The 13,697-nt window shown below is 48.8% G+C and overlaps 4 annotated features.

Annotated features, from left to right (window-relative positions):
• Nucleotides 10,519–10,588: an enhancer, noted in NCBI's record as "active region_28579". NCBI's record gives its function as "activates an Ori minimal core promoter by ATAC-STARR-seq in GM12878 lymphoblastoid cells {active_cell/tissue: GM12878}" and the evidence as "EXISTENCE:reporter gene assay evidence [ECO:0000049][PMID:35858748]".
• Nucleotides 11,904–12,163: an enhancer, noted in NCBI's record as "active region_28580". NCBI's record gives its function as "activates an Ori minimal core promoter by ATAC-STARR-seq in GM12878 lymphoblastoid cells {active_cell/tissue: GM12878}" and the evidence as "EXISTENCE:reporter gene assay evidence [ECO:0000049][PMID:35858748]".
• Nucleotides 12,274–12,323: an enhancer, noted in NCBI's record as "active region_28581". NCBI's record gives its function as "activates an Ori minimal core promoter by ATAC-STARR-seq in GM12878 lymphoblastoid cells {active_cell/tissue: GM12878}" and the evidence as "EXISTENCE:reporter gene assay evidence [ECO:0000049][PMID:35858748]".
• Nucleotides 12,334–12,383: an enhancer, noted in NCBI's record as "active region_28582". NCBI's record gives its function as "activates an Ori minimal core promoter by ATAC-STARR-seq in GM12878 lymphoblastoid cells {active_cell/tissue: GM12878}" and the evidence as "EXISTENCE:reporter gene assay evidence [ECO:0000049][PMID:35858748]".

Below are 13,697 nucleotides of genomic sequence, written 5' to 3' on the forward strand. Positions count from 1 at the left end.
GGAGACCATTATTCTAAGTGAAGTAACTCAGGAATGGAAAACCAAACATCATCTATTCTCACTCATAACTGGGAGCTAAGCTACAAGGTCACAAAGGCATTAAGAATGACACAATGGACTTTGAGGACTCAGGGGAAAGGGTGGGGTGTGAGGGATCAAAGACCATGGTAAATAGATACTAAGTAAAACTAATGAAAAAATCATACTTTACTCCATAAATATGTACAATTATTATGTGTCAATTAAAAATAATTATTTTTTAAGGTGAGTCAAATGCACCACAAAATACCAGAAAGCTTCAGAAATTTGAAGCACAAAGGCTCTTGGAAGGCTTAGTGGAAGGGCGCTGGATCACAGTGTTAGACAAAGCACCAGGGCCCTTCTCCATCCTGGCAGCCTGACTCCCTGACCCCTCCCGGCCCTTTGCTGTAGGATCCGCCCCCCACCGCCCTCTACTCTGCTCCGTGACTGGGAACAGTAAGACTTGTCCCTGGCTAGCTATTGGCATATTCAGCTTTGTGGAACAAGAGTGGCATATGGGTTTCTACCTGCACATATGTACAGAAAACTAGCATGCCATGCCACCTCTGTGCAGTGCAGCCCCAGGTGGCATAACCTACCCCTTCTTGTTAACAACAGTTGCAAAAAGTCAGCTTTTTGGGCACTCTCTCTTTAACATGAATAGATAAGTATTTCCCAAACATTTAAGGAAGGCTTCCAATATGAAAGAGGAAAGAGAAAGTTGAAAGAAAGGCCAGGGAAGGGAAGGCAGGCAGAACAAACCAGAGAAAATAGAAACAAGACAAGAAGCAAAACACTACCTCAGAAAAATTGTCATTAACATCTTCAGAGAAATAGGAGATGCTACATCCGTAAGTCAAGAAAGAGTAGTATAAAAGAGAACAATTAGATATTGAAAAGAGCTTCTGAAAATTCAAATTATGACTGCTGAAAAAAAAAACATTTCAATAGAAACATTGAAAGATAAAAATCATGGACATCTACCAGAAAGTAAACCAAAGGATATGTCTACAGAACAGTAAATCAAATGTGTGCCAAGTAAGAGGGAAAAAATAAAATAAGAGAATCAGTTATGTGGGCCCAACATCTAATTAATAAGAGCTTCAGGAAGAAAGAACAGAGAAAAAAGAAGGGCTTGCGAACAGCTGAGGTTCGTGGAGGGTGGGGCATCCAGGCAGGGCATGGAAGCTCCGCGTCCCTTCCCCCATCCCTCGCCCTATTTATCTCTTCATCTGAGCTGAAAAGCACCAAGGCTTGGCCTTAGCAGAAGGTTCATGAAGGGCTGGGTCCCAACACTGGTGTGAAGAGAGCTACCTGGGAGGCTGAGAAAAATCACATGAAGGAGAACTCAGCCCATTCATCTTGCTTGGAACTAAGAATCTTGAGTGATCCATTTCCTTAAAATTCAGGCTTCCCTGGACCCCAAGAAAGAAAAGTGAGTTTTCCAGCACTTGTGTTTATAGGACTCTTGCTACGAAACTGTTTTCAGAATCAAAAATAAAGCAGATGGCCATCTGAGACTGGATACCAGATTGTTTATATCAATGAGTTGACCCGTGAAACAAAGAAGCAGAGGAACATAAGCAGATTACAATGGATGCTGGATTTGGACAAGGAATTTTTGACGTGAAAATCTCTTCGAATCAGCCCTTCCTCTGAGGTAATAATCAAGACATATATTGAGTTATAGCAGAAAGTTATATTTTAGGGACAGAGGGATCAGGGTTACAATTTAGACCTAGGGTTACAATTTAGACTGGTCACCTAGTCACCTAGTCCAAGGCCTGTGTGAAGCCTTGGACAAGACACATGTCTCAGCCTCCATGTCTTTATCTGTAAAATGTGGATGGTAATACTCTACCTTCAGGGTTATTGCAAAGATTGAAGGAAAAAGTGAATATGAAGGATCTGATGACCTTTCTAATTTATAATAGGTACTTAATAAGTGGCCATTCATATTAGATATCCTGTTGGGAAAATAAGGAGGTAGCATCATTCTTCAAGATGAACAAGACGAGACTGGAGCAGACACTCCCTGCTGTCTCCCCACTATTCATTCTCTCTTTCTTTCTTTCTTTTTTTTTTTTTTGAGATGGAGCCTCATTCTTTCGCCCAGGCTGAAATGCAGTGGCGTGATCTCGGCTCACTGCAACTTCTGCCTCCTGGGTTCAAGTGAGTCTCTGCCTCAGCCTCCTGAACAGCTGGGATTACAGGCGCCCGCCACCACATTCAGCTAATTTTTGTATTTTTAGTATAGACAGGGTTTCACCATCTTGGCCATGTTGGTCTCGAAATCCTGACCTCGTGATCCGCCCATCTCGGCCTCCCAAAGTGCTGGGATTACAGGCGTGAGCCTCCGCTCCTGGCCTCTTCTTCTTTATTAACAAGTAAGTCTCTTCTTTCTTAGAGGGCAGCGCTATTTGTAATTACAGAACTACATTTCCCAGCCTCTCTTGCAGCCCCCAGGTGGCCCTGCCCCACAGTGTTAGCCAATGGGACTTCTATCAAAGTCTACCAGAGGTTCTATTATATTTACTCCTTGCCCCTTCCTCCTGCTTCCCTGACACAGGGGTTGGGCTGGGATGCAGAGGTCATTTTTTGATCAGAAGAGACCATGAGGGGGAAGGCAGAAGAGAAGACAAAGGATAGAAGAGAGCTGAGACACTGGTGACACAATGGCCACTGCCCCTCAGGACCTCACATTGCAATCATCTGTGCGAGAAAAGTAAACCCTATGTGGTGCAAAAAAATAGAAAAGGAGGAAAGAACTGATGTAAGAACATTTCCTGTAATGAGAGATGAATCTCCAGATTGAAAGGGCCTGTAGAACACCCAGCACGATGGAGGAAAATCCCTGGACCGAGAAGCATCATCACGTTTCACAACCTGTGGAATCAGCGCCAGTGGAGCCCACTGTGTGGCTCAAAGACTTAGGAACATCAGGGCCTGGATACCTCGTGCGTGTGGACCACTTACCCAGCTGCTCCCACTGACTGATCCAAGCACGATGAGGTTGAGATGAGACAATTACACCCAGAAAAGTCAGAGGGGAAAACGCTGCATTAGCATTTGGTTCTAGTCAATATCTTTGGATTTCAAGAACCAGAAGAACTTAAGGGAGGTGGGGGCTAGGGAGTTGGAGGTACTGGTGCTCTAAGAATCAAAAATGCTGCAGGACTGAGCCAGAATATAACTATAAAGTCTTTGGTAATTGGGGTCATGCCTTCCATGTCTCAGGGGTTACATTTTCTCTCTCTCCCCTGCTTCTTTCCAAGCATCTACTCCCTCTGGCTATTCCACCTTGATGCATAAGCTTGCACAGGGTTCAAAGTGGCCATCGACCTGCCATGACTTTCTGTTCACCCACCTCCTTCTTTGGCTCCTCTCTGAGCTTGCCAGTTAGGTGTAATTGCAATTGCAGTTCAATGACTAAATGATAATTCATCCCCAAGCCTTGAGACTGGCAATCCTAAGGGAGAGAGTATAGTGGTTCTAATCAGCTATGACAGAAAAAGAAGAGAGGGAGTAGAAGGGTCAGGAGAGCAGGGGTAGCATGGAAAAGACCCTCTGACAATGCTCTGACAGTAGGCATGCTGATCACATGCAAACTTATAAGCTAGTCCAAAGTGATGACCACCGACGGGAAGAAGCATGGGGTCGGGCAAAACTTGCATGGGCTCATTTAGTGTTGCTGCTGCAGACATGTACTGAAGTATTGATCTTCAGACTTTCACAACTAGCCAGTCAGTTTGTGCACCATCCCTGAGTGGTCTAATTTTCCTCCCTGGCCCCTATGCTCCTTGAACCCAGCACTTGCATCTTTTTTGTGTTGCATGAAATGAAGAACTAAATGCACTATGTTTACATTGTGTATTTACACTTTGTACCAATAAGTGCATAATTGATTGTCTAGTCTGAGTGCTCATACACAGTTGTTTCAATAGAAACCTGATATTAATTGATCGATTAGCAAAGTATTTCACAGTCTATATGGATAGTATCTCTGATTTAATAAAACCCCAACTTTTTATGTAATGTTTTTTCATTTTTCTCATTAAAGGCATCAAGAAAAGGTTTGTGCATCCACTAATTGAAAATAGATGCACAGATAACAGGTTGTTTTTTAGTTATCTTTCTATGACTTTGTTGAGATAATGTAAGAGTATAAACTATAAGCACTCTAAAACACCAGACTTCACTTTGGGAGGCCGAGGCGGGCAGATTGCCTGAGCTCAGAAGTTTGCGACCAGCCTGGGCAACTCGGTGAAACCCCATCTCTACTAAAATACAAAAAAACTTAATCAGGCGTGGCAGCGTGTAGTCCCAGCTACTCGGGAGGCTGAGGCAGGAGAATTGCTTGAACCCGGGAGGCAGAGGTTGCAGTGAGCTGAGATCACACCACTGCACTCCAGCCTGGGCGACAGAGGGAGACTCTGCCAAAAAAAAAAAAAAATGTTTCAGGAAAACCCTCCATCATACAACGAGTGTGTTCCAGAAACCTCAGTGATGTAATATGGGCCAGTGTTGTAGCAAAGCGGATTAAATATTTGGGGTGAGCAGGGACAGTTAACACCTGGGGGTTCTGAAGATGCTTGAGCTGAATCTGACACAAGCCTGGAGGTGGTGCAGTGCCACTTGGAGGTAGTGGGGACAGTTCTGAGACATCAAAGATGGTGCCAAAATTCTGGAGACATATTGACTAGTTGATGCCTACTTTGTCAAACTGCTCTGGGGACATTAGGCCAAAATACCAAGAACACAGGGACTCCCCTTCCTCCCCACCTCTTGGGAAGGGCTGCCTGCTGTTTCCCCACTAAGGCAAATGGAATTTTCCCACCTGGCCACAACATCTCCCGCATGCTCTTTTGACAATGTGATTTTGATACTTCTGCCTTAAAGAGATGGCTGGTGGCTCTGGTGAAGACTGCTGTGGACTTCTGAGGCCAGTCATTGAGGACAACATGGCTTCTGCCTGGCTGTTAGTAGCTTTCTGGCTTCCCTGAAGCCGCCATGCTGAGAGGAAGCCCAAATGCGTCCATGTGGAAAGACCACACTGAGCGGCCTTGAGGCTATATGTAGAGATGCCTGGCTGGCCCCCAGCTGCTCCATCCCGCTCCCATACAGCTCCAGCTGGAACCACTTGGAAGGCCCTGAGTCAGACCGCCCAGCTGAGCCCTTCCCAAATTCCTGCCCAGCAGAGACCACGAGAGATAAGGCACTAAGATCCACAGTTCTCGCTGCACAGCAGCTCTAGGATCACTACAGCAGCCTCCTATTGCCCACCATCCCCATCATGAGAAGATGCTTCCTCTTCTCCCATTTGAGAATGGGCAGCTGGGCCCAGAAGAGAAGTCAACCACAAAGGGACTCCCGGCATTGTGGGGCATGATGCCGCATGGCTCTAACTGAATGTGTCTTATTTATTTTGAGACTGAGCCTCAACGTTTCTGAACATCGGAGGTTGACTCTAAGTCAAAATGGTCACTCTAAAATTACCAGAACTTTCCTTCCTGTGGTCCTGAGGGTAGATGTCGACATTGTCCTTCTGAGAGAGGCATTTGGAGACCCAGGGAGGATTCAATGTGACCATGTATCACCCACAGGGGGCTGCCCCACCATTGGAGGATCGACTCAAATTCAAGATGGAACACTGTAATTATTCTGTGGAAAAATACAAGGCTGTGTCCTTACAGGTGAGTCCAGCTCTGAGGGGCGAACTTTTTCATGTCAATGGATTTTCAATTCTCTCCACTGGAAGAAGCTGGAACTTGAGGAAAAGAGGGTTTGGAGGAAGGGTGTGTAAACATGCTGAGCTGGTCTGTGCTGGCCAGGTCTAGGAGGAGAGGAGAGGAGGCCCAGGCCCCTAAAGGCTCTGTGTGCTGGCACACGTCCAGTGGACCTTACTAGGATGGAGAGCTGGGCTCCGTTTTATATTTGCTTTTGTTGTTTGTTTGTTTACACTGAAATTTTCCTTGATACAAATGTTCAATAGCATCAGGTAAACAAACCCCCACTTCTTGAGTTTCAGGCTTTGGGGAATCAACAGACAGACCACACCATACCTGAAGGATCATTTCTCAGAGAGCTTGGCAGCCTGAAGTGCAGCTGCAGGAGAAAGAGGTGAACAGCCAGGATGTCGGCTGTGTCTCGGATGAGAGCAGGAAAACAGTGTCAGGGTATGCAGACTCTCCCCACATCCTCAGGCACCCTGGGGCAAGGGCAGGACTTTCCGTCTTATGCGTCTTATGCGATAGGACTGTCGCCTGGTCTGGAATACGCTCTAAATACTTCCAGCCCCGGGGGCCACCGCTGTCCTGTTGGGAGAGCAACAGCCTCTGCTCCCTCCAGAGGCAGCTTCCGTGAGGGCGTCAGCTCTCCCTGTGGCAGATCCACACTGGTGGCTTTGAGATTAGTAAAATAGATGTGAGCACATCATTTTCATGCATGAGGTCAGACATGCGAAATTGTATTTAAGAGATGTAAATTGGCTAGAAATGCGATGGCAGCAGTCTCTCATTTGCATGCGTAGAACATAAGAGTGCTGTGACTCCAGTGGCCTGAATGCCCATGAATGTTGTCCCGGGTGACTCCCAGGCCCTGGTCTGGAGCGTCCAGGGTTGTCTGACCCCATTAAATGATTCCAGTCCTGTTTGTCTTGGATGAACTTTCCATGCTCTGTAGATGGTGTGCTTGTGGGACAGAATCCGGTCTGAGACTTGCTTCACAACCGGTTGTGAGGATGTCAGGAGGTACTGTAAGCCTTACCAAGCTCCAGCTATTGATACTAACAATGAAAAAAAAACACAAATAACTTTGAAAGACTAAGCTGGCTTAGGTCATTTTTAAAACACACATTCAAGTTATTTTGTGTGGACATTAAAATAAAGAGGAACCTCAGGCAGCTAAAAACCCCAAGCACCATCTAGTCGCAGACCTCAGTGGAAAGCCACGTGTATGTGCTGCAGTTTGGGTATCCGTGCCCTCTAAAGCTCATGTTAGGCCAGGCGGGGTAGCTCTCGCCTGTAATCCCAGCACTTTGGGAGGCCAAAGCGGGCAGATAACTTGAGGTCAGGAGTTCGAGACCAGCCTGGCCAACATGGTGAAACCCCATCTCCACTAAGAATACAAAAAACATTAACTGGGCATAGTAGCAGGTGCCTATAGTCCCAGCTACTTGGGATGCTGAGGTAGGAGAATTGCTTGAACCCAGGAGACAGAGGTTGCAGTGAGCTGAGATCATGCCACTGCACTCCAGCCTGGCAATCGAGTGAGACTCTGTCTTAAATAGATAAATAAACAAATAAGATAAATAAAGCTCATGTTGAAATTTGATCCCCAATGTTAGGGTGGAGCCCAGTGGGAGGTGTTTGGGTCAGGGGGTCAGACTCCTCGTGAGTAGATTAATGCTCTCCATTGGAGGTGAGTGACTTCTTGCTGTATTAGTTCCAGAGAAAGGTGGGTGTTTTAAGAAAAAAAGCCTGGCACTACCTCCCCTTCTTTGGCTTCCTCCCTAGCCATGTGATCTCTGCACACACCAGCTCCCATTCCGCTTCCACCATGCATGGAAGCAGCCTGAGGTCCTCCTCTGAAGCAAATGTCAGCACCATACTTCTCGTACAGCTTGCAGAACTACAAGCCACACAAACCTCTTTTCTTTATCCATTGCTCAGCCTCAGGTATGCCTTTGTAGCAATACAAGTAGACTAAGACTGTGTGTGGAGTTTGCCTCTTTTCTTCATCAATTGCCCAGCCTCAGGTATGCCTTTGTAGCAACACAAGTGGACTAACACTGTGTGTGGACGTTTGTGTATTGGGTGAATGTGCAGAAGCACACACGCGCTCTCAGCAGACACACCCGTGGGCTGCTTCTCCACATGGGAATGTCACCCGGCACTGCCAGAGCTATAGAGATAGTGCACACATTCTCACTCTTCTTTGCCTCTGTGATGTCTCTTTGCCACATCACCCTGGGGGTACCGATGATGTGCAAGATGAGGATAAAGCCAATATTTGACAGATTCTCAAAAAGTACTATTAGGTTGGTACAAAAGTAATGCAGTTTTTGCCATTTTTTTAAAAAGTAATGGCCAACCGCGATTACTTTTACACCAACCTAAGACTTCCCTTTCCAGGAGTCCTTTGGCTCCCAGTTCACTGCTGGGTTTTCCCAGCTCCTCTTAACTTGCCTCAGTGCTTGAAGGATTCTGCCAGCCCGCAGCCTCCCACCCTACACCTGCAGGCCCCAGAGGCTCCCTGCGGCTCAGCCTGGTGTTGAGCAGTAGTGTTTGCTCCATCTACACCACAGGAACCAGACTCTTGACCAATTGCAGGTTTTGTATGCACACAGGACTGCATATCCTGGTGGTGGTCACCACCCAGGCCCCATGCTCAGCACTTTCATGCATTACCTACCCTCTAGACTAGGTTTTATTTACCCATGTTGCAGATGAGACACGCAATCCAAGAAGTTAAGTAAGCAACCCAGGTTCACACATTTTCTTTCCTTTCCTTCTCTATTTGCCCTGTAGCCAAGATGACTGAAGTACCAACTCCCTGTGGTCGCTTTCACCAAGCTGGTGAGACTCAGCCTGCATTACAGCCAGCGGTGGCTCGTGCCAGGACAGCAGCCTCTTCCCTTTAGAGAATCAGGACAGCCAACAAGCAGAGGAGGCTGCGTGGGGCAGCTCAGGCAAACACCTAGGAGTCCTTGATACCGACGACTGCAGCCCAGTCCTCAATCACATCACTAGAGGTACTTAAAAGATGTCAGCAGGTTGGGAGGGAAAGAGAAAGCTGTCCTTCTGCTGAAGGGAAGCACAGCCCGACACAGCTTCAGTGTTAGCATTGCATCTTGCTGGACAACCAGTGGCAGATTCTTCCTGGAGCAGTTCCAGGCTTGAGAATGTGCTGCAGTCTGTGGTTTTTCCAGGTCTATACTTTCCTGGAGCCTCATAACTGATGCAACCTCAAAGGGGATCCCTCTTCATGGAGCGGTGTTCAGGTTGTTCACTCTCATGCCTGCTCACCTGGGGCTGTGGTCACTTGCAGCCTGGGGTCATTAGCTGCCTTTTCTCAAGATGGTTTTTACTGCCTGGAGTATAGGAGCTCTAACATCTCTATATGGTGGGTTCCCCAACACCCACCCCAGGGCCAGCCTGGAGTGGATACACAGTACAATTTTGTTTTTTAATTGAGATGAGATTTCACTCTGTTGCCCAGGCTGGAGTGCAGTGGTGCGATCTTGGCTCACTGCAACCTCTACCTCCCAGGTTCAAGTCATTCTCCTGCCTCAGCCTCCCAAGTAGCTGGGACTACAGGCATGCACCACCACGTCCGGCTAATTTTTGTATTTTCAATAGAGACGGGGTTTCACCACATTGGCCAGTCTGGCCTCAAACTCTTGACCTCAAGTCATCTGCCCGCCTTGGCCTCCCAAAATGCTAGGCTTACAGGCATGAGCCACCATGTCCAGCCCTACGATACAATTATTGCATTACTAAGTCTCAAAAGGCTGGAAAACAGGGGGCCCCCTATGAGCTGACATTCTAATTATTCTTTTTATGATCCCTTCACAGATTGTCATAATAGACTCCAAATTCACTCTTGTTCACCCACAAGCATGCATTTACTTGCAATTTGAATGGACTTATGTGCAAAGATAAAAGGAAAATGACCTTCTTTTTTAGCAGCACTCACTTAGTTCCATCTCTAAAACTAATACTCACTTTTTAAGTTTTGACTATAAAAGTAGAAAAGACCATTGCCTGTCCATGGAGGAGACACTCAGGCAACTGAGTAGGGCATCTGGGTGCAGCTGTCACGGGAACACTGCACACTCCAGGAGGTGCGAAAGGTCATCCCTGGAGTTACCTGCACATCCCAGAGGCCCTGGCCTCAAGATGCCCACAAGAAGCTAGTGAGGAAAGACAAATGTGCATCCTCTCTGGCCTCGGCATGGCAGAGCAGAGGGAAGCAGATGGAAGGGCTCCCAGGCTGGCCCACCTGAACCACAACCAGGATAAAGGCCCGAATCAGGAGGCGGCAAACAATAGCCACTGGCTAAACCCAACCCTTGGCCTGAGTGTGTGTGGCCAGTCAGCTAAGAATGGTTGTTACAGCTTTGTTTATTTTTTTTTTTAAGGAATATGCGACAGGAACTATCTGGTCAGCTGGTTGGCCAAGACAACTATTTTCTATCTGGCCCTTTGTAAAAAAGATTTGCCGACCCCTGGTCTACAGCATGAATGTGTCCCTGGGAAGAGCAGATTGTCCTGACACCACTACAAAGGAGGCCCAGGGCAGCTGAACTGCTCCATCTCTGCCTCATCTGTTATAAACTGGGCATGGCCAACACCCTGCAGTGGCCCCACTGCCTGGCAAGCCAGACCTGCCTCTCCTGGCCCTCTTCATATGCGCCAAGCTAGTGCCCACCAACAGGAGGCGCTGCTGATCCAGCCTAAAGATGTGAGCAAAGAGAGGTTTGCTATTATTATCTGGAGGTGGTTTGCAGGCAGGTGTGAGCACATATGGGTCCAGGGCCTTCCAAGTGAGTTCCTCAGTAACCACCCCCTCAGTGCTGTCAGCTGAGAGGTAGCGGGGCCTCCAGAGGCTCTTGAGATTTACAAAGACTTTGACCAGGTGTGGTGGCTTACACCTGTAATCCCAACACTTTGGGAGGACAAGGTGGGTGGATCACTTGAGGTCAGGAATTCAGGACCAGCCTGGCCAACAGGGTGAAACCTCGTATCTACTAAAAATACAAAAATTAGCTGGTCTTGATGGTGCACACCTGTAGTCCCAGCTACTTGGGAAGCTGAGGCAGGAGAATGACTTGAACCTGGGTGGAGGAGGTTGCAGTGAGCCAAGCTCGTGCCACTGCACTCCAGCCTGGGTGACAGAGCGAGACTCCATCCCAAAAAAAAAAAAAAAAAAAAAGAGAGAGATTTACAGGGACTTTGCAGTGGGCCCTGGAGAACCATCTTTCCTTGCTGCAGACCCAGATGCTGGTGGGAGCATCTGGGGAAGCGCGCTGAGAACCTCCGTCGTTCCTCTTCCCCGGCCTCCACTCCCCAGCCTTGCCAGTGCTGGACAGACGCAGTTGCCTGGGGACACAGGAGCAGCTTCAGCTTTCCCACCAGCTTGGGTTAGCACCACAGACATGTAGGCCACTCGTTGTTCAGTCACAAGCAGGTGTCCTTCCTTCTTCCTCACTCACCAAGGACGCAGTGTTTATCACAGACTGCATGCACGTGATCATGTCCAGAAGCAAAATAAGCTACTGAAACATTAAACCAGCCTTCCTCTGATCCTGAATCTGATCCTCCTACCTGCCCAGGTGGTCAAGTGACTCAGGGAGCCTCCCACATTCTCAGTTTCCTCCTCTGCAAAAAGCAGCCTCTGACACTTTCTTTTTTATTATTATAAATTTTTTTTTGAGATGGAGTCTCACTCTGTCACCCAGACTGGAGTGCAGCGGCGTGATCTCAGCTCACTGCAACCTCCGCCTCCCAGGTTCAAGCAACGCTCGTGCCTCAGCCTCTCAAGTAGCTGGGTCTATGGGTGCACACTACCACACCTGGCTAATGTTTGTATTTTTAGTAGAGATGGGGTTTCGCCGTGTTGGCCACACTAGTCTTGAACTCCTGACCTCAGGTTATCTGCCTGCCTGGGGCTCCCAAAGTGCTAGGATTACAGGCATGAGCCACCGCACCCAGCCAGCCGCTGACACTTTCTTGCTGGGTGCTGTGAAAATAACAGCCCAGCACGTGGGAAACCCGGGCCTCTGTGACAGTTAACAGCCCTGTGCTGTCTTCCTGAGGGGCAGAAGCTCAAGGACAGGTGCCTCTCAGGCCCTCAAGCCTCCCATCTCCCAGGGCTGTCTTCTTCTGTCTTCAAATTGGCAACCCAAATATGGCATGCCGCTCACTAAACAAAACTCCTCCGGGCATCCTCCCACAAGGACAGTCATATGTCCCAGACTTTTGCAGAACATCTGGAAGCCACAGGACAGCACCCTGCATGTCCCAGCCACCCTAAGAGTTGGCCAGCAGGCACCTGTCCCTAAAAGCCCTCCGCCGCTGCCTGGCCACAGAAACATTCTGGGCCACCTCTTCAGCTCATGGGCCCCTCTTGCCTTTCTCATGCCTGACACAGGATGTTCCACAAGTGGAAGAAGTTAGCTTCTCGTCTCACAATTTTACTTTTGAAACCATCTTTCCTCAACCAAAATAGCGCCTGGGGTTGTTTTGCAAAACAAAACAGTTTTCGGCCTCTGCTGACTGTAAAAAATAACTTCCTCCTGCCTGCTGTATAATCTACTCCTAAACCCACCCCAACATCACAAACGCACAAGAAAAACCTGAAAGGTTTGGCCATCAAATACACACAAGGGCTCTCTGGCATGTAGAACCGTAGCTGCCCCGAAGCCACTTCCAGCTGGACCCGAGGGAGGCACGGCCATAGTCCAGCAGGTGTGGCCCCCAGGCCTGGAGGACGGAGTCTGTCCCACATGGCCAACAGCAGATGGGCCCAGGTCCCCCTGCCCATCACAAGAGACGAGGCATAAAACCGTAATGCTAATGTATTTGTTTACGGTGAGGTACAGGCTCCAAAATGACAGGTTCTACCTGTTTTCTGTCCTGAGCAAAGACAGGTGTGGACGGGAGAGAAAGAATACATATTCTATTTTTCTTTTTACTCAGAAACTAATTCCTCAGGATAGTCTCCTGATACTGTTGCCCCCACTATCCTCACTATCCCCTGAAACCCCTGTTTCAGAGCAGGGCTGCCTTCTGCCCTCCCCTCCTGGGGGCTGGGCGCGAGTTGTTAGAGCAATGCAGGAGGTGGGCAGTTCAGGGCAGCTTTGGATGCCTCAGGTCCCACAGGAGCAAATAAACCCTGGACTTCTTGATGCCGTCACAGCCTGGCAGCACCTGCTTGTCCAGCAGACCAGCCACCGCTCCCCGATTCACCATGCCTCAGCCACGTGGGCCAACATTCCCTTCCACTGAAGGCACCTGTGAGACTACAGGGACCACCAGCCACAATATCAAGCCCTCCTCCTCCTGCCCCATCACCCCTAGCCACCCAGGCTCAGGAAGATGCCCTTCAGAGCACCATGCTCAGCCGCCCGCTCATGAGAGTGCAGGCCAGCCCCCTCGCCCATCTCACTCACACCATTTCCAGAAATGCCAGCACGGCCTTCTGAATAAGAGTGAGGCAAAATTCAAACCACGTTTAAATTGTTTGAGGATCACATCCACCACCAGTTAGCATGGGTGAAGAGTCCGTGGAGAGGGTACTGCAGGGCTTCCGTGGAAGCAACTGTATTTTTACACAGCCGTAGTGCTCGGCTCACCAGGTTCGGCTCACAGCCCCCGATACCTGGCTGTGTCCAGCAGAGGGGAAGTCTCCTGGGAAGAGGCCTTTGAGAGGTTTATACACATGTGCGATGTGGGCCAGCGGGCGGCCCCGGGAGCCAGCAAAGGTCAGACATTTGTCCTTCCAGACACAGCTCCCGCGAGGTAGAACACGGCACCAAGATGCAGCGTGGACCCCACGACCACCATTGGGGTACCCAGGCGCCCAGAGAACACATGCCACGCGGCAGCGTTTGTACCACGGAGGGCAATGCAAACAGCTGACACCTGGCAGCGCTCCAGAACTGCCGCTGGGGC

This window comes from Homo sapiens, chromosome 9 (genome assembly GCF_000001405.40).
Source record: "Homo sapiens chromosome 9, GRCh38.p14 Primary Assembly".
NCBI classification, from domain to species: Eukaryota; Metazoa; Chordata; class Mammalia; order Primates; family Hominidae; genus Homo; species Homo sapiens.